The 24,399-nt window shown below is 36.6% G+C and overlaps 1 protein-coding gene and 1 pseudogene across 15 annotated transcripts in view, besides 1 other annotated feature; both read right to left on the reverse strand.

Annotated features, from left to right (window-relative positions):
- Positions 1-24,399, reverse strand: part of ARHGAP32 (Rho GTPase activating protein 32) — a 314,573-nt gene that overhangs the window by 22,347 nt on the left and 267,827 nt on the right. For all 15 annotated transcript variants that reach the window (XM_047427929.1, XM_047427927.1, NM_001378025.1 and 12 more), the window contains 2 exons: positions 10,913-11,062; positions 617-719 (listed from right to left, as the gene is read on the reverse strand). In XM_047427929.1, the coding sequence (XP_047283885.1) occupies positions 617-719; positions 10,913-11,062 (253 nt within the window). The remainder of the gene's footprint in view (positions 1-616; positions 720-10,912; positions 11,063-24,399) is intronic.
- On the reverse strand, positions 5,831-5,934 carry RNU6-876P (RNA, U6 small nuclear 876, pseudogene; annotated as a pseudogene).
- Positions 11,297-12,496: an enhancer, noted in NCBI's record as "BRD4-independent group 4 enhancer chr11:128868598-128869797 (GRCh37/hg19 assembly coordinates)". NCBI's record gives its function as "activates an origin of replication core promoter dependent on BRD2, P300/CBP, MED14 and CDK7 cofactors, and independent of BRD4, by STARR-seq in HCT116 cells {active_cell/tissue: HCT116}" and the evidence as "EXISTENCE:reporter gene assay evidence [ECO:0000049][PMID:35650434]".

Raw genomic sequence — 24,399 nt, forward strand, 5'->3', positions numbered from 1 at the left:
CCCAAAACTGAGATGGGCTCTATGATCTGTTAAAGTATTAAAATCTCTACAGAATAATGGCAGTTATCATGTACTACAGTAAAAAAGAAAGGGTAATGGCATGTCAAGAATAGTCTAGAATCCAAGAGATTAAGCAAAAATAAAATATTGCAGGCACAGAGTTTGTCACTGTTTTTGTCTCAGAGAAGATTTGGGGAGGATGTGAAATATGTAGAGATGCATACTTGAACATAAACACAGAATCAGGGTCAAAGGAGATTAGAAAATGTTCCATTCCCATCCATTTTAATTAACACCTAAAGAATAATTTTATTATAATGCAAATTTCCTCTCTCATGGCTGTCATCGGTTCAAACTCAATTTGTTAAAATCTTCAAACACTATAAAGAGGCAAAATACAAGTACTGAAGAGATTAAGGTGCATGGTTCTCTGATACTACAGATGAAAAAAATGCCATTTAGAAAAGTATACAGAGACAATAACATGTATATTATTTCCTATTTTATCTAAATTATCTTTAATGAAAATAGGTTATCAAAGTAAGTGAATCTGTTTTAAAATATTTGCATTTTAATTAGTTAAGAAGGAGTGAAAAAGTGCCATATAAGATTTTACCGTAGTCTCTGGATATTGGAGGCAACACCAGAAAGGCGATAGATTCCATCCACGATGCCATATCTCTCAATGAATGCTGTGCAGCTTTGAAGAACCTGCGGCACTAAAGAGAATTTGTAAAGAAACAGATGAAATTGTAGTATTCACTGGAACCAAAGTTGCCAAAAAATAAGATTGTCTTAGTTTACAAAAGTAAAATAAAATTTGTAAATTAAAGTTAAAAGGAGCAAAAATTAATCCACTACAAAAAATGATGAGGGTATATTTATTTAATTGCCCACCTAAATTAGATAACTAATTCCTGAATAATCAAGACTGGTTCTATGTCATGATATTTAAGTGAGTAAGAGAGTTCATACATTATTAGGACAGTCTTTCTTCTGCAGTAGACTCATTTAGATCATGTTACAGTTACACATTACAGCAAAGTGAACTGTTTAGTCCTAACACCATGCCAGATTTTTAAGAAATACAGCTGTTCAGCTGACTTTCATATATAGCAAATGAATATATAAAGTTAAATGCTTGTCCCAACAACATAATTACTTGTAAGTGCTACAAAGTTTTGCTTCTAGAAAAGGATCTTCTATATTTTCATAGTTAATGCAAATTCTGACTTTATTCAATCAACAAAACACCAATATAATGCAAAGCCCAAGGCAATTTCAAACAGATGGAATCTTGTAATTTCCTGGCCATATTTACATTAACTTTATTGACATTTTGACTTTATATTATCAGCTTGTAATACAGGGCACTCTCTCTGGTTAGCTCTATGAATATACACTGGACAGCTATGCTGGGGCATGCAGTATAAAACAGAATTTTCAAAATATATGATAAAGCATTTTATAACCATTCAAACATTTACAGCAGCTGAGAATTTAACAATAGTTGTTTTGCAATGCAGATTGATGAGTTTACAGACTTTAGTATGATCATTTGATAGGGTTAATTAAAATCCTTGAAAAGAAATGCTTGGAAAATTTGGTCTGCAAAGAGCTACTATACTAGAGATGAAACATTCAGAGTGGCAAATGAAACAAATAAGGCATTTTAATAAGATAATTTTAGTGAATGTATTTCATTAACAGTATATTGTCATTCCTTTATTATTATAACCAACTTTTCCTTGGTTTTCCTGACTTTTATTGTCCTTCATGCAATCCATCTTTAAATTCTGTCAGATCCTATAACAACATTTAAAACTTAACCTCATCTTTGATTAAAAAAATCAAAAAACAAAAACCAGCAGCTGATAGTATTAAGTACTAAATATATGCCAGGCTAAGTACTTTACAATGCATACTCTCTGATTTTCAGAGATATCCTACAAGGAAAGTACTATATATTCCCAATTTTTACAGAGAAGAAATTGTATCTTAGAGAGAGTAAGTTTTACCCAAGGGCAGGCAGGAAACACTGGCAGAAGTGAGAGATTCCAACTCAGGCAGTCCAAGTACAGAGCCAATGCTTTTGTTTTGTTTTTTATTTCACACACACACACACACACACACACACACACACACACACATACATATATCTTTTTTTATTATACTTTAAGTTCTGGGGTACATGTGCAGAATGTGCAGTTTTGTTACGTAAGTATACACATGCCATGGTGGTTTGCTGCACCCATCAACCCATCATCTACATTGAGTATTTCTCCTAATGTTATCCCTCCCCTAGCCCCCCAACCCCCCGAGAGGCCCTGGTGTGTGATGTTCCCCTCCCTATTCCATGTGTTCTCATTGTTCAACTCCCACTTATGAGTGAGAACATGTGGTGTTTGGTTTTCTGTTCTTGTGATAGTTTGCTGAGAATGATGGCTTCCAACTTCATCCATGTCCCTGCAAAGGACATGAACTCATCCTTTTTTATGGCTGCATAGTATTCCATGGTATATATGTGCCACATTTTTCTTTATCCAGTCAGAGCCAATGCTTTTGACTACTGCAATATACTGCCTGGCAGAGAAGGCCTTTCATAATTTACATTTAATTATTATTGTATTTCCATATTCCACAACCCTAGGCCAAGTGAAGTGTTACCTTTTGCCATACAAACCAACCATGCTATGACTTCTTCACAAAACAATTTCCTCTAGCTGGACTCTCTCCCATAACGCTCTTCGTATAGAAAAAATTCTTGGCTATTGTTCAAAATCCAGGTAAACTATCACTCTTTAGCGAGCCTTCATTGAATACCCACAAGTAGAGGTGGCTGAGCACTGTGTTCTATGTGCTCATAGAAAAATATTTCAAAATTATCATTTATTTGTTCATACAACTATTACCCTTTTCTGACTGTGGGCTCTTCAAGAGCAAAACCATGCATCGTCCATCTTTGTATATTTAAAACTCAGGAACACCGTCCTGACACAATGTATAAAATTAGCAAGTGAATTAATTTACCAGTGCCCTGAGAGCCTGAAATGGTCATTATCTGGTCAAGTTAGCAGGGAAGGAACCTTAGTTTTCATATGAATACATTTTCAACTACATGCTTTCTACCTCTAAAAATATTCAAGACTTTCAGTAACAAGAAAAGGTTATGGTTATGTAGTAAAGATGAAGGGCAGGTAGAATTGCTGGGTACTTCTTGTGGATTTAATTGATATTAGAAGCAACCTCTGTGTCGAAATGATATGCAAAATACATAGCATCTTTATAAAAGCTTGGGTTCTATTTCTCACATTGTCCCACCAATGATAAACTTGGTGTCTTAGGTTTCAATTCTAAAAACTGGAAGTGGAATAATAAAATTTGGGGCTACAAAATTTCAGTCTTCTGCTTCAAAGGGAATGTATTTAGAGATTACTGGGATAATTAACATCATTACTTAGGAAAATAGTTAAAATTCTTTCCTGTAAAGCACTGAGAAGATGCTTCTCATTATATATGCTCCAAATGAGCATGCTGATTCACCCAGGTACACAAAAGGTTTGTCTTCAAGAAAAACCCTTCAGAGCACAGTATTTTATTTCCATATTATCAGGCTCTCCGAGCACACATAAATTTTTCATAAAAATAAGCTACCATTTATAAAAAAAAGTATCGGTAATTTTCATTGGATGTGTATATCTGTGTGTTATTAGATTCATATCTGTTTATTCTTCCAAATAAGTAGGAAAACATTGAAAATATGGAGAATTAGAGGTCTTTTCCTGATAATATGTCCAAGTCTCTACACACGTAATACTTCATGGCAAGCATCTGAATCGTTTTCTTATATTTTGTGTTCCCTGAGTAGAAGGACTGAATGTCTACACAAAAATCACATAATGAGCTTAATAAATAAAATTACATAACTATTACTTATAAGTTTAAGGGAAACAAATGAGTCATTTAATACAAATAGGTGGCAAAATGAAAGAAAAGCATAAACTTGAATCTTGAAGAAAAGGAGCAAAAACTGAAAAACAATGTCAGAAGAAAAAAGAAGAAAAGATCTGTTTTATTTTTTCACGAAAGAGTAGGAAAGCAATATAAGAAATCCAATATATTTTGTAAAAAAAATCCTAGTTTTAAAAAAAGGCTATTTACTAGCTACCCCCAAACCATCTAACAAACCAGCCAAATGCACAGCGAATAATGACCCAGTCAAAATATAACATTAGAAACCTCCAAAATGCTTCCTCCAAAAGACGGTATGACTTTCAGAATCATTCCCACATTCTCCACATAATACACTTCTGATTTACTTTGATTTTACATTCTTAGTTTTTAAAATATCATCATACGACAACAGAATAAGAAGTACATATTTAAATTAAAATCGATGATCCTTTAGATTAGAATATGGCTAAAAGAAGTAGGAAGTAAGTATGACAAGAATTGATCTTTGATTTTTTTTTCTTGACAGTTTTGGTTTCGTTTCTGCTCTTTTCTCTTCATTCATTCACTCGCTCACTCACTCATCAATCATGTATTTATTAAGTCTCTTCTATTTTCCAGGCATCATGAAAGCATTACAGATACAGACGAAAAAGCTGAGTTCCAGTTTCAGGGAGATGGTTTCCAGGCTAAAGGGACATGAGTACAGTGTGACTTATTAGAATGTGCATCATGATTCTACCTAATATGACTACCAAAAGGATTAATTTCTGGTGTTATCTGGGCCTTGCTTTTTCCTACTGTGCTCTCATTTAAAGTTTTGTGCATATCATACAACACAGAAATATGTTCAGGCAACAGAGAGTCCTCTCCGAGGGTTTCAAAATATTTGTAATATTTTGTACCAAACATAATTTTACCTAGTTTTCTATAAAACTCTCACTATTTTGTTTTAGTGATCTCAATTCAAACTTTTAATGAAATTCAGTTTTAAATATGTACACCAAAAAAAAATACTAACTCTTATGAAAAAAATCAATGATACCAGAAAAAGAAATTAACGTCACATCACCACCACCACCACCACCACCAACAACAACACAACATTTTAAAGCTATAGATAAGGATGCCAAAGTAGGCTGCGGGCAGTGGCTCATGCCTGCAATCCCAGCACTTTGGGAGGCTGAGACAGGTAGATCACCTGAGGTCAGGAGTTCAAGACCAGCCTGGCCAATATGGTGAAACCCTGTCTCTACCAAAAAATACAGGAAAAAAAAAAATTAGCCAGGCATGGTGGTGGGCGCCTGTAATCCCAGCTACTCAGGAGGCTGAGGCAGGAGAATTGCTTGAACCTGGGAGGTGGAGGTTGCAGTGAGCCGAGATTGTGCCATTACACTCCAGCCTGGGCAACAAGAGCAAAACTCCGTATCAAAACAAAACAAAACAAAAGGATGCCAAAGTAAATGACAAATCAGTATAATCTATGCTCAAAAAAAGTACTATGTGGGCAGATTTTTATTTACTTCTTTTGTGGGCAGATTTTTAAACAATCAGTTCTACAAATAACTGTGATATAATGTTTAATACACTCAATTATAAACACCGGTTTGTGATAGCTAAAACTCTATGATAATCCTGATTGAACAGCAGGGACCACACATAAAAGAATAAAAAGACAACTGCCTTGTCAGGCTCCTATGTGATTTCTTACAACACTTTGTACAGAAGACACAGGTCAAGTTTGTCACTTGCTCCAACAGAGAGGTACTCAGAAGTTTAGAAAGTATAATAAGATAATCTCCCTATAAAGCTGATTTTTCACTAGGAAATATTCAGAGAATTAACCATTTAGCAAAACAAAATTTAAAAAAAATTTTTATTTTATATGGAATGCTTCACGAATTTGTGTGTCATTTTTGTGCAGGGGTCACACTTATCTCTGTATTGTTCAAATTTTAGTATATGTGCTGTCGAAGCAAGCACATAAAACGTAATTTTGATACGAGCTTCCTTCTCAGAAAAATCTAGTGCAAGGTTAATTTTATTTAGGGTAAAGACACTATATTAAAGTCTAAACTTTGAGAAAGAACAATTATATATGATATATATCAATATTATATATACTGTATGTGTCTCATCTCTCCTCACAATTATGTATATAATATATAATCATTTTTTCTTCATTTTATTCTAATTATTTTAGAGTTTAAAATATATAATCAATTCTCATTGTTTTAATTTAGACTTTAAAATAGTCTCTATATATATTTGTATGTGTAAATATATACACACATATGATATAACTGTGGTTATAGGTCATGGACAATACATATGAAGTCTTTTTTTTTTTTGGAGATAGGGTCTCATTCTGTTGCCTAGGCTGGAGTGCTATGGTGTGATCATGGCTCACTGTATCCTGGACCTCCTGGGCTCATGAGATCCTCCCACCTCAACCTCTCAAGGAGCTGGAACCACATGCACGTGCCACCATGCCCAGCTAATTTTTTAAAATTTTTTGTAGAGACACTGTCCCTACAAAAAAATCAATGACAAAAAATCAATGATACCAAAAAACTCTGTTCCACTCAAATAGATTTTATCATAATTAGGGAACAGATGAACACTGTAGTTTAACCTGCTATTTTTCAGAAAGAAGTGATATAATAGCCTCTGTCCTCCCCTATCATCCTTATGAAGAATGGAAACATAACTGAAACTTCTAAGTACAACTAAAATTGAATTGATATTTGAAAGCTAATGAGCATGGCAGGACAAATTGGAAAACTCTCTTTCATTTTTTTTTCTTTTTTTTTTGAGATGGAGTCTCGCTCTTGTTGCCCAGACTGGAGTGCAATAGCATGATCTTGGCTCACTGCAACCTCCAGCTCCCAGGTTCAAGCAATTCTCCTGCCTCAGCCTCCTGAGTAGCTAGGATTACAGGCATGCACCACCACACCCGGCCACTTTTTGTATTTTTAGTAGAGACAGGGTTTCACCATATTGGGCAGGCTGGTCTTGAACTCCTGACCTCAGGTGATCCACCTGTCTCGGCCTCCCAAAGTGCTGGGATTACAGGCATGAGCCACCCTGCTGGGCCTCTCTTTCATATTAATGATCACATCTAAGCAAGGTTTAACATGTTACATGGTGTTAAACGTGCCATGTTGCCCAGGCTGGTCTCAAACCCCTAGGCTCAGGTGCTCTTCCCTTCTAGGCTTCCCAAAGAGCTAAGATTACAGGCATGAGCCACCACACCCAGCCCCCTATGAAGTCTTAAAATCTGAAAAAACTGAAATTCCTCACATATTCATTAAATCAAAGACAAACTACTAAATCACTCAGCTATTAAAAAACCATTTTATTTCCTAATTTTTAGTTAATAAACTTCAAAGGTTTCCCTTCTCCTGCTAATTTAGGCTTCATTTGAATGTTCAAATGAATATCCTTCTTATGAATATTTATTCATTTCTTACCAACCCTGATGAAACAGGAAATTATTTTAATATGCCAAGTATAATATATCTGGCCTTGGTCTTTGAGGTTTCTAGCTCCTAAAGTTTACTGAATTTCAATTACACTTTAAGGTCACAAGTTAATTTTTTTTCTAGTCATTTGAGTTTAACTTGGCAAAGAGGGATTAATCTTCCAGGATTATTAAATTCATTTCTAATATTCCTCTAATTTTTTTAATTGAAAAAGCAAGACAACTAAGAAAAAAAAATCTCAACAATATTCTCTAATACTTTAATTATATTCATTTCTCATATCACCTAAGTATCCAGACTTTCAAAAGTTGTATCTACCATTTATAGATAATATTTTTCAGGTTCCTACACTGTATTCAAACTTATTTTATTTATTTATTTAGAGACAGGGTTTTGCCTTGTTGCCCAGGCTGGAATGCAGTGGCAAGATGATAGCTTACTGTAGTCTCCAACTCCTGGGGTCCAGCAATCCCCCGACCTCAGCCTCCAAACTAGCTAGAAGTATGGGTGTGTGCCACCATGCCCAGCTCGTTTTGTATTTTTTTCTGTATAAATGGGGTTTTGCTATATGCTGCCCAGGCTGGTGTAAACTCCTGGCCTCCAGCGATCCTCCTACCTTGGCCTCCCAAAATACTAGGATTACAAGCATAAGCCATCTCACACAGCTCAAACTTAAAATTTTTAACAGCTTCAACATTTATAGAACATTCCCCTGTATGGGTGTGGTGGCTCACGCCTGTAATCCCAGCACTTTGGGAGGCCAAGGTGGGTGGATTGCTTGAGTCCAGGAGTTCGAGATCAGCCTGGCCAACATGGCAAAATCCCACCTCTACAAAAAATACAAAAATTAGCTGGGTGTGGTGGTGCATGCCTATAGTCCCAGCTATTCAGGAAGCTGAGGCAGGAGGACAGCTTGAGCCCAGGAGGCAGAGGTTGCAGTGAGCTGCGATTGGGCCACTGCACTCCAGCCTGGATGACAGAGTGAAACCCCATCTCAAAAAAGAACATTCTCCCAAAGTTGGGTATTTCGTTTTCTTTGTTCTCATACATTATGCTATGATGAACACTTTTATTTCTATTTAATTATAACATTAAGATAAGTCCCTAAGGATGGATTCATTAGATGAAAGGAACACTATAAAGTGTCTTGCTATGAAATGTCAAATGTTTTCCAAAAAGGTAGTGCTAACTCAGAACCTTCTGAAACCAACGATTCTGAACCTATTGGTAAAAATCACTACTATATTTATGGCACTGGATATCATAATTTAGAAAAATAGCTTTGTTATTTTAATATTTACCAAAGTAAAATGGTATTTCAAAATCGCCTAAAGATACATTTCCATGATTACAAATAAGGATAAACATTTTTCTGTATTTTGTTTATTATTTATAGCCCTGTGACAGTTTAATGTTTGTATCTATTCTCCATTCTTTTACTCAGTAATTAAAATTACTTTAATTTTCTAAAAAGTCTGAAATGATATTCTCATACACTGTAATAGCAGCATTTCATCATATCCAAAAAATGATTATATTTCCTTGTCTATGGTACCTCTCCCTCTACACTGTTATTTTTCATTATATGAAAAGTATATATATATTTAAGTCATCTCTTCATGTTTTTTGTTTAAATCTGAGAAAGCTATTATTTATTTTATCTCAAAACAAAATCAATTCACATTGGCAATTTTGTAAGTTTAAAATGGTTAACTTATACATTTGAAGTTTATATTCAGTATGATGAAGTGTGAATTTTTTTCAAAACTGCTATTTAATTATCTCAGTATGTATTATAAATAGCTCTTCCATGTGACATGGTTCTAAAACCATACTTTTTTCTCACAATGGATTCTTATGTACAGTAAGAACTATTTCTGAACACTGTAAGCTGTTTCACTCACATTTCATTCTCAGCACAAAACTCTGCCTTTAAAAAGAAAATTTTTTTTTTTTGGAGACAAGGTCTTGCTCCGTCGCCCAGGCTGGAGTGCAGTGGCGTGAAATCAGCTTACCGACCCCCACCTCCCAAGCTCAGATGATTCTCCCACCTTGGCCTCTCAAGTAACTGGGATTACAGGTGCGTACTACTATGCTGGCTAATTTCTGTATTTTTCGTAGAGACCAGGTCTTGCCATGTTGTGTAGGCTGATCTCGAACTCCTAGGCGCAAGCTATCTGCCTGCCTCAGACTCCCAAAGTGCTGGGATTGCAGACGTGAGCTACTGCACCCAGTGAAAACTCTGCTTTTCTAGTTTTGAATATTGTTTTAATATATAGTAAAACTAGATGTCTCCCATCCTATTACTGATTTTTTTCTTTGACATTCTCACTGGTTGAGTTTTCCATGTGCATTTAGTTGCAAAAGTAATCCTCAGGGGTTTTTTTTGTTTTTGTTTTTTTAGGGATCTGCATTAAGTTGGTATTAATTTGGGAATAACATCTGTTTGAAATAACATTTTGTCTACTCTCTCAAGAAACATGGTACAGTTTGCATTAAATTCCTAAGTCCACTGATATTCTTTAAACAATGAGCAAGACCTTAATTTGAACTTGATACTATCAACTCAGTATTATTATTATTACTTTACCATTGTTTTTCACTAATGGTCTTCTCAAAAGGCACAATGGGTATTTCCCATACTAATTTGGAATTTCATAATCACCTATTTCTGGTACTTAGCAACATCACAGGTAGATCCTGCCTTCATCTTCTGGCATTTCTGAAAGAGATGCTAGAGGAAAGTGCTATTTTTAAATATAAAAGGAAAACTCCTTTTTTTCTTTCCCTCCTATCCATCCCCCCATCCAACAACTAAATTCTTGATTCATAATTTAATTTATAAAGAAAGGAATATAGATTCCTATAAAAAATAAAATACAGATTCTCTACAAAAGTAAAATGAAAAATAAAAATTAGCCAGGTGTGGTGGCACATGCCTGTAGTCCCAGTACTCTGGGAGGACTGCCTGAGCCCAGGAATTCAAGGCTGCAGTCGGCTATGATCACGCCACTGCACTCCAGCGTGGGCAACAAATCAAGGCCCTGTCTCTTTAAAAACAAAAAAAATTGGAAGATTGATTTTGGCATTTTATGTCTCAAAACTCTGACAGTTTTTTTTCCATAAGAAGAATTAGATAAATATTTTAGGATAAAATGTGGGTGGCAAAACTGGCTGAAGAAGCTATCTAGGGAGAAATAGAAACTCAGGCAAAATAACAGGGTGGTTGTAATATATTTTGTGTGAATGTCCTACTCTTCCCGAATAGAACACGAACATCTCTAATGCCAAAGTGCATTCTTAGACTTTTCATTCTCAGCTCCATCCAGAACTGAGTACCTGAGAAAGCTTAGTACATGCATTGAACTGAAATGAAACAGGTATCATTTGACTAAATCTACTCCATAATTGGTTATAGCAAACCAATATGGAGAGGTCAGAAACTCAGAGTATAAGCTTGCACATTTTATTTTTACCTTCAAAACCAGAATTTAGAAGGTGTTCCCCCAGGTCACAACCAAACACCCTCTCTTTCAAGATTCCCCGCTGCTTCAGCTTCTGTTTTGTTGGACGAGACTTCATGAATGTTCGTAAGAACGTAATGAGCTTGCCGTGCTTTTTAGACACTAAAAATCAATAAAGAGAAAAGATCTTAGTTGTGGCAAGAGGTTACATTTTACTTAGCATAAAAACAAACATATCTCAAGAGGCTGACAGCAAAATAATCTATTATGAATATACTTTATAATCTTTAGGAAAATGTCAGTACAAGTTTAAGCTAAGAGTTGTGTTATAAATAACATCATAATTTTGTACTTTCTTTTTGTTGCAGGAAGTCAGGGACCTTGAATGGAGGGACTGGCTGAAGCCATGGCAGAAGAACATAAATTGTGAAGATTTCATGGGCATTTATTAGTTCCCCAAATTAATACTTTTATAATTTCTTATGCCTGTCTTTACTGCAATCTCTGAACGTAAATTGTGAAGATTTCGTGGACATTTATCACTTCCCCAATCAATACTCTTGTGGTTTCCTATGCCTGTCTTTAATCTCTTAATCCCATCATCTTTGTAAACTGAGGATGTATGTCACCTCAGGACCCTGTGATGATTGTGTTAACTGCACAAATTGTTTGTAAAACATGTGTGTATGAACAATATGAAATCTGGGCATCCAAAAAGAACAGGATAACTGCAATTTTCAGGGAACAAGGGAGATAACCATAAGGCCTGACTGCCTGTGGGGCCGGGCAGAACAGAGTCATATTTCTCTTCTTGCAAAAGCGAATAGGAGAAATATCGCTGAATTCTTTTTCTCAGCAAGGAACAGCCCTGGGAAAGAGAATGCATTCCCAGGGGGAGGTCTCTAACATGGCCGCTCTGGGAGTGTCTGTCTTATGCAGTTGTAGATAAGGGATGAAATACGCCCTGGTCTCCTGCGGTGCCCCCAGGCTTACTAGGATTAGGAAATTCCTGCCTAGTAAATTTTAGTCAGACCGGTTCCCTGCTCTTGAACCCTGTTTCCTGTTAAAATGTTTATCAATGACAATGCATGCACAGCGGGACATGAAATTTTATCAGCAATTCTAATTTCGCCCTGGTCCTGTGATCTCGCTCTGCCCCCATTTGCCTTGTGATGTTTTATTGCCTTGTGAAGCATGTGATCTCTGTGACCCACACCCTATTCGTAAACACCCTCCCCTTTGAAAATTGCTAATAAAAACTTGCTGGTTTTGCAGCTCAGGGAGCATCACGGAACCTGCCGACATGTGATGTCTCCCCCAGACACCCAGCTTTAAAATTTGTCTCTTTTGTACTCTTTACCTTTATTTCTTAGACCAGCCGACACTTTGGGAAAATAGAAAAGAACCTACATTAAAATACTGGGGGCTGGTTCCCCCGATATCTTCTCACCACCTTACCTTATGAGACTGTCAGCAAATTTAAATGTTGTAACCCATGACGTTTGAATCAAGCTTGGTAAACCAGTCATCTTCCCAATGCATACTTAAGGATGTTACAGGATTATAAGAGGAACCTGAGTTTTACTGTAATATATTACTTTGGAGATCTTTATAATAAGTAAGACTTAAAATGGTGTAAAAGCGGTTTGCATTTCTTGTCAATTTTTAAATTATTTTACTTGATGGTTAGAAATTTTCGTAGCACTTGTAATCTGTTGAATATAACTGAAAAAAGAAAACTCTTTCTCATTTTGCAAAGAGGACAATCCCATAATGACACAGAACACACTTGTCAACCTAATGGCTATATAAATACAAAACACACACCCACACAAGCATCAGATAGTCCATTAACATTCGTCTATAATATACTAAGTACATCATCTTAAATCCTTTATAGATCAAGGAAAAAGGTGAGTAAATTAATATTTGAAAAAATAATTCCACCGACTGATACATTAGAAAGACAACTAAAAAAACTGAAAGTAAATCCCTTAAAAATGACTTTTGCTGAGAAGTGCAGCTTATAGGGATAATTATGCTAAAAGTCAACATACAACAATATCATGAGCTCAAAGATTAGCTGTTAGATAGAAGACTAAGCCAGATGGCCTAAATCCCCCTACTAAGTTTGCAGATGATTACTGAGAGTCTTACTGAAGCCTACTATACATTTAAAAAAATTTTCATGGGTACACAGTAGGTATATATATTTATGGGTACGTATTTTGATACAAGCATGCAATGTGTAATAATCACACCAGGGTAAATGGGGTATCCATCCCATCAAGCATTTATCCTTTGTGTTGCAAAAAGTCCAATTATAGTATTTTAGTTATTTTTTAATGTACGTTTAAATTATTTTTGACTGTAGTCAGCCTGTTGTGCTATCAAATGCTAGGTCTTACTCATTCTTTCTATTTTTTGTACCCATTAACCATCCCTATTCCCCACCCCCCCACCATTGGCTTATTACCCTTTCTGGCCTCTGGTAACCATCCTTCTACTCTCTGTCTCCATGATTTCAACTGTTTGGATTTTCAGATCCCACAAATAAGTGAGAATGTACAAAGTTTATCTTTCTGTGCTTGGCTTATTTCACTTAATATAATGGTGTCCAGTTCCATCCATGTTGTTGCAAATGACTGAATCTCATTATTTTTTTATGGCTGAATACTACCCCATTGTGTATATGTACCACATTTTCTTTATCCATTCATCTGCTGATGAACACTTAGGCTGCTTACAAATCTTGGCTATTGTGAGCAGGGATACAACAAACATGGGAGTGCAGATATCTCTTCTATATACGAATTTCCTTTCTTTTGGGTATATACCCAGCAGTAGGACTGCTGTATTGTATAGTAGTTCTATTTTTAGTTTTTTGAGGACCCTCAAACTATTCTCTATAGTGGCTGTACTAATTTACATTCCCACCAACAGTGTAAAAGGGTTCCCTTTTCTCCACATTTGTTACTGCCTGTCTTTTGGATAAAAGCCATTTTAACTAGAGTGAGGTAACATCTCATTGTAGTTTTAATTTGCATTTCTCTGATGATCAATGATGTTCAGTATCTTTTATACACCTACTTGCCATTTGTATGCCTTCTTTTAAGAAATGGCTATTTGGATCTTTTGCCCATTTGTTAATCAAATTATTATTTTCCTTTGAGTTGTATGAGCTACTTATATATTCCAGTTATTCATCCTTTGTCAGATGGGTAGTTTGCAAATATTTTCTCCCATTCTGTGGGTTGTCTTTTCACTTTACTGATTGTTTCTTTTGCTGTGCAGAAGCTTTTAAACTTGATGTGATCCCACTGTCCATTTTTGCCTTGGTTGCCCATGCTCGTCTGGTGTTACTCAACAAATCTTTGCCCCCTCTAATTGTCCTGGAGATTTTTCCCATTTTTTTTTAGTAGTTTTATAGTTTGAGGTCTTAGATTTAAGTCTTCAATCCATTTGGACTTAATTTTTATATAAGGTGAGAAAGAGGGGTCTAGTTTCATTCTTCTGCACATGGATATCCAGTTTTCCCAGCACTATTTATTGAAGAGACTGTTATTTCCCCAATGTATGCTCTTGGCACCTTTGATAAAAATGAGTTCACTGTAGGTGTGTGGATTTGTTTCTGGGTTCTCTATTCTGTTCCGTTGGTCCATGTGTCTGTTTTTATGTCATGCTGTTTTGGTTATTGTAACTCTGTAATATAATCTGAAGTCAGGTAATGTGATTCCTCCAGTTTTGTTCTTTTAGCTTAGGATTGCTATGGCTATTATTTAGTTCCATATAAATTTTAGTATATTTTTTTCTATTCCTGTGAAGTATGTCATTGGTATTTTGATAGGAATTGCACTAAATCTGTAGTTTGGTCTGGGTAATATGGACATTTTTAACAATATGGACTCTCCGAATCCATGAACGTGGAATACCTTTCCATTTATTTGTGTTCTCTTCCATTTCTTGCATCAGTGTTTTATAGTTTTCATCATAAAGATCTTGCATTTCTTTGGTTAATTCCTAGGTATTTTATTTTATTTGTAGCTACTATAAATGGGATTGCTTTCTTGATTTCTTTTTCAGATTGTTCACTGTTGGGATACAGAAATGCTACTGATTTTTTCATGTTAATTTTGTATTTGCCACTTTACTGAATTTGTTTTATCAGTTCAAATAGTTTTTTGGTGGAGTATTTAGGATCTCCAAATATAAGATCATATTATCTGCAAACAAGGATAATTTGGCTGCTGCTTCTTCAATTTGAGTGCCCTTTATTTCTTTCTCTTTTCTGATTGCTCTAGCCAGAACTTCCAATACTATGTTAAAGAAGAGTGGTAAAAGTGGGCATCCTTGTCATGTTCCTGATGTTAAAAGACTTCCAAATTTTCTCCATTCAGTAAGATGCTAGCTATGGGTCTGTAGTATATGGCTTTTATTATGCTGACACATGTTCCTTCTATATATATTTTTTGAGGGGTTTTATCATGAAGGGATGTTGATTTTTTTTTTTTTTTTTTTTTGAGACGGAGTCTCGCTCTGTCACCCAGGCTGGAGTGCAGTGGCGCGATCTCGGCTCACTGCAAGCTCCGCCTCCCGGGTTCACGCCATTCTCCTGCCTCAGCCTCCCGAGTAGCTGGGACTACAGGCACCCGCCACTACGCCCGGCTAACTTTTTGTATTTTTAGTAGAGACGGGGTTTCACCTTGGTCTCGATCTCCTGACCTCGTGATCTGCCCGCCTCGGCCTCCCAAAGTGCTGGGATTACAGGCGTGAGCCACCGTGCCCGGCCAAGGGATGTTGAATTTTTATTAAATGCTTTTTCAGCATTAATTGAAATGTTCATATGGTATTGTCCTTCATTCTGTTGATATGATGTATCGCATGTATTGATTTATGTATGTTGAACTATCCTTGCATCCCTGGGATAAATCCCACTTGGCCATGATGAATGACCTTGTTAATGTGTTATTGAATTCAGTTTGCTAGTATTTTGAGAATTTTTTGCATCAATATTCATCAGTGATATTGGCCTGTAGTTTTCTTTTTTTGATGTGTCATTTGTTTTGGTATCAGTGTAATATTGGCTTTGTAGAATTCGTTTGGAAGTACTCTCTCCTCTATTTTCTGAATAGTTAGAGTACAATTGGTACTTGTTCTTCTTTGATTAAATGTTTGGTAAAATTCAGCAGTTAAGCCATTGAGTCCTGGGCTTTTCTTTGCTGGGAGACTTTTTATTATAATTTTGATCTCATTATTTGTTATTGGTCTGTTCAGGTTTTGGATTTCTTCATGGTTTGATCTTGGTAGGCTGAACATGTCTAGGAGTTTATCCACTTATTCTAGATTTTCCAATTTACTGGCATATAGTTGCTCATAATAGCCACTAATGATCCCTTGAATTTCTGCAGTGTCAGTTGCAATGTCTCCTTTTTCATATCTGATTTTCTTTATTTGGGTCTTCTTTTTTTTTCCTTAGTCTGGCTAAAGGTTTGTCAATTTTGTTTAACTTTTCAAAAAATCAACTTTTTCTTTTGTTGATCTTTGTTGTTTTATTTTCAGTTTAACTTGTATCTGCCCTGATCTTTCATTATTGCTTTTTCTTCTACTAATTTGGGTTTGGTTTATTCTTGCTTTTCTAATTCTTTAAAATACATTGCTAGGGTGTTTTTCTTGTTTCTCATGTAGGTACTTATAGCTATAAATTTCCCTCTTAGTACAGCTTTTATTGTATCCCATAGGTTTTGGTATGTTGTTTCTGTAATCATTTGTTTCCAGAAATTTTTTCAATTTCCTTCTTAATCTCTTCATTGACTCACCGTCTTTCAGGAGTATATTATTTAATTTCCATGTGTTTGTATAGTTTCCAAAATTCCTTGTTACTGATTTCTAATTTTAGTCTGTTGTGGCCAGAGATGCCTGATATCACTTCAATGCTTTCCTTTTTTTTTTTTTTTTTTTTGAATACTTTCAGATTTGTGTGACCTAACATGTGGTCTATCCTTGAGAATAATCCACATGCTGAGGAGAAGAATATGTATTCTGCAGCTGTTGGATGAAGTGTCCTGTAAATATTTATTAGGTCTATTTAGTCTATAGTGCAGATTAGGTCCTATGTTGATTTTCTGTCTGGAAGATCTGTACAATGCTGAAAGTGGGATGCTGAAGTCTCCAGCTATTATTGTATTGGGATCTATCTCTCTCTTTAGCTCTAACAATATTTGCTTGATATTTCTGGGTGCTCTAGTGTTGGGTGCATATATATTTACAGTTGTTATATCTTTTGGCTAAATTGACCCCTTTATTACCATATAGTGACATTCTTTGTCTCTTCTTATAGTTTTTGTCTTGAAATCTATTTTGTCTTATGTAAGTATAGCTACTCCTGCTCTTTTTTGGTTTCCATTGACATGGAATATCTTTTTCCATCCCTTTCTTTTCAGTCTCTGTGTATCTTTATAGATGAAGTGTGTTTCCTATAGGCGACAGGCCACTGGGTCTTGTTTTTTCATCCATTCAGCCACTCTATGTCTTTTATTGAAGAGTTTAGTCCATTTACATTTGATGTTATTATCGGTAAGTTCAGACTTCCTCCAACCATTTTGTTATCTGTTTACTGGTAGTTTTGTGGTCTTCTTTTCCTTCTTTCCTTCCTTCCTGTCTTCCTTTTAGTAAAGGTGATTTTCTCTGGTGGTATGATACAATTTCTTACTTTCTACTTTTTGTGTATGCATTGTATATTTTTGGATTTGAGTTTATCATGAGGCTTGCAAATACTACCTTATACTCATTTTTAAGCTGGTAACAACACTGTTTGCATAGATAAACAAGCAAAAAGAAAACTAACAGACTGTATGCTTTAACTTCATCCTCTGTTTTTAACTTTTTGTTGTTTCTATTTATATCTTATACTGTCTACATCTTGAAAAGTTCTAGTTATTATTTTTTATTGGTTTATCATTTAGTCTTCTACTTAAGAGCAGTTTACACACCACAGTTAGTGTTATAATATTCCATGTCTGTGTACTTACTATTACCAGTGAGTTTTGTATCTTCATATAATTTCTTATTGTTCATTAATGTCGTTTTCTTTCTGACTGAAGTATTCCCTTTAGCATTTCTTATAGGACAGGTCTACAAGCTGAAATTCCTCAGCTTTCATTTGTCTGGGAAAGTCTTTACTACTTCTTCATGTTTGAAGGATATTTTCACCAGATATACTACTCTAGGGCAAAGTTTTTTTCCTTTAGCACTTTAAATATGTCATGCCACTCATTCTCTCTCAATCTGTAAGGTTTCCACTGAAAAGTCTGCTGCCAGATATACTGGAGCTCCATTGTATGTTCTTTTTTCTTGCTGCTATTAGTATCCTTTCTTTATCCTTGACCTTTGGCAGTATTATTATTAAAATGTCTTGAGGTAGTCTTTTCTGGGTTAAATCTGTTTAGTGTTTTGTAAACTTCTTGTGTTTGGATAGCGATATCTTTCATTTTGGGAATTCTCTGTTACTATCTCTTTGAATAAACTTTCTACCCCTATCTCTTTCTCTGTCTCCTCTTTAAGGCCAGTAACTTAGATATGCCCAATTGAGACTATTTTCTAGATCTTATAGGCATGCTTAATTCGTTTTCCTTTTGTCTCCTTTGTGTATTTTCAGCCTGTCTTCAAGCTTACTAATCTTTCTTCTGCTTGATCAATTCTGCTATTAATATATTCTGATATATTCTTCAGTATTTCGATTGCATTTCTGAACTCCAGAACTTTTGCTAGAGTCTTCTTAATTATTTCAATCTCTTAAACATATCTGATAGAATTCTGACTTCCTTTTCTGTGTTACCTTGAATTTCTTTGAGTTTCCTCAAAATGGCTATTTCGAAGTCTCTGTCTGAAAGGTCACACACCTCTAGGGTTGGTCCCTGGTGCCTTATTTACTTCATTTGGTGGGGTCACGTTTTCCTGGATGGTCTTGATGCTTGTGGATGTTTGTCAGTGTCTGAGCATTGAAGAGTCAGGTATTTATTGTAGTCTTCAGTCTGGGCTTGTTTGTACCTGTCCTTCTTAGGAAAGTTTTCCAGGTATTCAAAAGAAGTTGGGTGTTGTGATCTGCATCACAATGCAAGCTGTATCTGCATTAGTGGACACCCCAATTCAATAATGCTGTAGTTCCTGCAGATTTGTAGAGGTACTGCCTTGGTGGTCTTCGATAAGATCCAGAAGCATTCTCTGGATTACCGGTCAGAGACTTTTGTTTTCTTCTCTTACTTTCTCCCAAATAAACAAAGTCTCTCTCTGTCTCTGTGATAAGCTACCTGGAGCTGGGGTGAAACAAGCACCCCTGTGGCCACCACCACTGGGACGGCACTGGGTCAAACCCAAAGCCAGCACAGCACTGGGTCTTGCCCAAAGCCCACTGTAACTGCTACCTGGCTACTGCCTGTGTTTGTTCAAGGACCTAGGACTGTATAATCAGCAGGTGGTAAAGCCAGCCAAGCTGTGTTGTTCCTTTCAAGGCAGTGAGTTCCCCCAGGCCCTAGGTGGGTCCAGAGATGTTGTCCAGGAGCCAGGGACTGCAGTCAAAAGCTTCAGAAATCTACCTGTTGTTCTACTATATTGCAGCTGAGCTGGCACTCAAACCATGAGACACAGTCTTTCCTACTCTTCTCTCCCCTTTCCATAGGCAGAGGAGCCCCATCCCATGGCCACCACCACCACAGGGCCACAGGGAGTACTGCCAGGTTACCATTGATGTTCACTTAAGGCCCAAAGGCTCTTGTCAGCTTGTGGCGAATGCTGCCAGGCCTGGAACTTATCCTTCACGGCAGTGGGCTCCCCTCTGGCCCAGGGCGGGTCTAGAAATGCTGACCAAGAGCCAAGGCCTAGAATCAGAGTCCCCAAGAGTCTGCATGGTGCCCTATCCCACTGTGGCCAAGCTGGTACCTAAGGTGCAAGACAAAGTCCCCTTTACTTTTCCCAAGCAGAAGGAGTCTTTCACCATAGCCACCACAGCTAGGAATAAGCTGGCTTTCACTTGAAGCCAGCATATCTCAGAGTCTCACCCATGGCCCATGGCATACTACCCAGGTATCACTGCTGGTTATTCAGGGTCCGAGGGCTTGTTAGTCTGCAGGTGATGAGGCCTGCTAAGACTGAGTCCTTCCCTTGAAGGCAGTGGGTTCCCTTCTGGCCCCAGGTGTATCTAGAAATGTGGTCCAGGAGCTAGGCTAGAATGGGGGCCTCACAACTCTCACCAGTGCCCTTTCCTACCATGGCTGAGCTGGTATCCAAGATGCAAGACAAAGTCCTCTTTAATTTTCCTTCTTCTCTTCCCAAGCAGAAAGAAGGGATCTGTTTTGGAGTCACAAACCGTCCTGCCTAGGGTAAGGGGAGAGGTGGCACAAGCACTCCCTTAGCCACCCTGGCTGGTGTCTCAGTAGGTCATGTGCCCCTCAAGTCCATTGGCTCTGGGCCCAGTTCAGCATTAAGACTTGCCTAGGAGTTGCAGTCCTTGCGGCCTAGACTGCTTTTCAAATTTATTCAAGGCCCCAGAGCACTTTAGCTTGCAGTGGTGAGGCTTGTTGCAGCTAAGTTCTGACGGCTGGGACAGATTTCCCCTCTGTCTAGGGCTGTCTAAATGGCCCCTCCATGGGTAGGCATCACCTAAGTTCAAGCTGGTTTTGCTTTCCACTGTGACAGGGCAGCACTGGATTCAAGGCAAAGTCCCAAAATTCCTAAGTTCTCCCTCAAGAGAGAGCACAGATTCTCTCTCTGTGCCACAGGGCCACTACCAGGGGATGGGGGAGGGGGTGGCAAAGGTGATTTAAGACTGTTTTTCTTACCCTCTCTAGTGCTTCTTTCAGCAATAGGAAGGTAAAATCAGGTACTATGAGTGCTCACCTGATTTTTGGTTTCTTTGAGGGTATTTTTTTATGCGTATAGTTGTGAAATTTGGTGCTCCTCAAGGGGAAACAATCAGTGGAGCCTTTTATTTGGCCATCTTCCTTTGCCCCTCCCCTATTATACAGTAGTGAGTGAATCCAAACCTTAACATTCCTGAACAGATGAAGACTCCTGAGGGAACCTTGTGTGCCTAGAGTAACTTATGGCCTAGATAGAACACTAGATGGGCTATTCTACACAAGATTAGACATCTGCCATCCATTTCTTTTCATTTTATGGAAAACATTATTTACAGACATTAGTGTCTTTTTTATAGACTACACAAGGTGACCAACCATCCTGGTTAGTCCATGACTGACAAGTTTCCTGAGACATGGAACTTTCCAGGCTAAAACCAGTAAAAGTCTTGGACAAAGTAAAACAAAGCAGTTATTCTAGACCGTAACACAGATTAAATGAAAAAAAATTATTATTTTCTATACCACCTGTTAAAACTTACTTGCAATCTCAATATAATGTTGATGCTATCTCTGACATGTATGCTCTGAAACTCTGGGTAAATTACAACCTCTGTTGTATCTGAGATTCCTCACAGTAAAATTAAATTACATGCTCACTTTTCTACTAATGAGACATTTATAGTATAGTTGGTTAACTTCAGAAGTTTGTCACATATAATATCACTATATTAAAAGTTACAGGCTGGTGTAATTATTCTCCTCTAGTTGCTAGCAGATTGTGTATTATGAATCTTTGTTATAGAGTGGCCATCAAACCATTTATGTTCATTTTTAGACATCTTCCATATGAACTTTAAAATAATTTTGACAAGATCCGCAGAAAACTAATAAGTTTGGTTTGCAACAATTTAACATTATACAATAATTTGGAAGAATTTTAATTTCTATAATATTCAATATTTCTACATGGAAAGAGTATGTCATAATTTTTCTAAATCTGTTATTATCTCTCAAAAGATTTTTCTAATTTTCCTCATAAAGGACACATTCCACATATTTCTTATTAGGAATATTGCTAGGTAACTTAATTTTTTTTTCTGCTTTAGTAGAATAACACCTTGCTTCAATTATGCCCTTAACTGGTAATTACTAGTATGCTGGAAAACAATTTTTTTTCTTCAACTTTTATTTTATGTTCTGGAGTATATGTGCAGGATGTGCAAGTCTATTATATAAACATGTGCCATGATGGTTTGCTGCACAGATCATCCAATCACCTAGGTATTAAGCCCAGTATCCATTAACTATTCTTCCTGATGCTCTCCCTCCCCGTAACTATCTCGACAAGCTCCACTGTGTGTTGTTCCCCCCATGCATCCATGTGTTCTCATTGTTCAGCTCCCACTTATAAGTGAGAACATGCAGTGTTTAGTTTTCTGTTCCTGCCTTTGTTTGCTGAGGATAATGGCTTCTAGCCCCAAACATGTCCCTGCAAAGGACATAATCTTGTTCCTTTTATGGCTGCATAGTATTCCATGATGTATATGTATCCCTTTTTTTTAATCTAGTCTATCACTGATGAGCATTTGGGTTGATTCTGTGTCTTTGCTGTTGTGAACAGTGCTGCAGTGAACGTACGGGTGCGTGTATCTTTAAAACAGAATGATTTACATTTGTTTGGGATTGCTGGGTCAAATAGTATTTCTGCTTCCAGATCTTTGAGGAACTGCCACACTGTCTTCTGCAATGGTTGAACTAATTTACATTCCCACCAACATTGTAAAAGTGCTCCTTTTTCTCTGCAACCTTGTCAGCATCTGTTGTTTCTTGACTTTTTAATAATCGCCATTCTGACTGGCGTGAGATGGTATCTCATTGTGGTTTTGATTTCTATTTCTCTAACGACCAGTGTTGTTTGTTGGCAGGATGAGTGTCTTCTTTTGAGAAGTGTCTGTTCATATCCTTTGCCCACTTTTTAATGGGGTTGTTTTTTTCTTGTAAACTTAAGTTCCCTGTAGACTCTGGATATTAGACCTTTGTCATATGGATAGACTGCAAACATTTTCTTCCATTATGTAGGCTGTCTCTTCAGTGTGATGATAGTTTCTTTTGCTGTGCTGAATCTCTTTAGTTTAATTAGATCCCATTGGTCAATTTTTGCTTTTGTTGCAATTGTTTTTGGTGTTTTCGTCATGAAATCTTTGCCCATACCTATGTCCTGAATGGTATTGCCCAGGTTTTCTTCTAGGGTTTATATAGTTTCGGGTTTTACATTTAAGTTTTTAATCCATCTTGAATTGATTTTTGTATAAGGTGTAAGGAAGGGGTCTAGTTTCAATTTTCTGCGTATGGCTAGCCAGTTCTCCCAATCCATTTATTAAATACGGAATACCTTCCCTGTTGCTTGTTTTTGTCAGGTTTGTTGAAGATCAGATGGTTGTAGGTGTGCAATCTTATTTCTGAGTTCTCTATTCTGGGAAAACAATTTCTTAATGCATAGCTCACATCTGATCATTTACTAAACTCTCAATAATTTTAGAAGGATATTAGTTGATTCTTTTGAATTTCATGGATATGTAACTGTGTCAAAGTAAATATGGCCATTCTAGCTTTTGTCTGATAGTAAAAGCTTCTGATTTCTGTTTCAGATTTTGTCCAAAACTTCCAAAATACATGTTAACAGTAGGCATTTATATTTTGATGCTGAATCTGATGAAAATAATTGTCAAATTTGGTAACTGCATATGATGTATATAAGAAAGCATTCTTTAAGTAACATATTTCTAAGAATGTTTCAAAGGAATGGAAAGTGAATATTAACTATTAATCATTTAGCAACAAATGAGTAAGTGTCTGCCATAACCTAGGAACTGCTCTAAGTCATGAGATTACGATGGGGAACAGGAGAGACAAGGTCCTTGCTGTCACAGAGCTTACTGATGGCAGACAATGAATGATTAAATAGTAATACGGATATAGCCAGCATTTACTTTACACTTAGTATGTGCAAGTAACTACCTAAGTGTTTATATTTATTAATCATTCATTTCTCACAGCCCACTATTAGGAAAATATTTATACCCATTTTTAGAGGAATAAACTGAGGCAGAGAATGCTAAGTTAATGTGCCCACTGTCACATAACCAGGATTCCGAATCAGGGCATTTAGCACAGAGTCCAAACTCTTATCCACTAAATGATACTGCCTAAATGAAGGCAACAAAGTAATATCAGATTATTTATAGTGGCTAATAAAAAAATAAACAGGGTGACGTATTAGTGACTTGAAAGAAACTGCATTAAACAGAGAGTTAAGGAACAGTTTCTCTGAGGAAGTCATATCTGAGCTGGAAGCCATGAGAGGGGTAGGGAGCCACGGGACAGTGGTATGAAATGAGGCTCAAGGGGTATGTAAAGGCTGGGAGCATAGGCCAGAATAGAGAGTTTACAAATAAACAATTTTAAACATTTCAAAACATTTTAAAACACTGGGTTCCTTTAAAAATAACCAAATATGTTTATCAGAAACCCAAAAGAGCATTAATAGGGAATTGGTTGAATAAATTATGGTACATCTGCACAGAGGATTATTGGTTGGCTTTTTTTTTATTTTTAAGGAGGATCTCTACCTACTGATAGGGAGTA

This window comes from Homo sapiens, chromosome 11 (assembly GCF_000001405.40).
Source record: "Homo sapiens chromosome 11, GRCh38.p14 Primary Assembly".
In the NCBI taxonomy this organism is placed as follows: domain Eukaryota; kingdom Metazoa; phylum Chordata; class Mammalia; order Primates; family Hominidae; genus Homo; species Homo sapiens.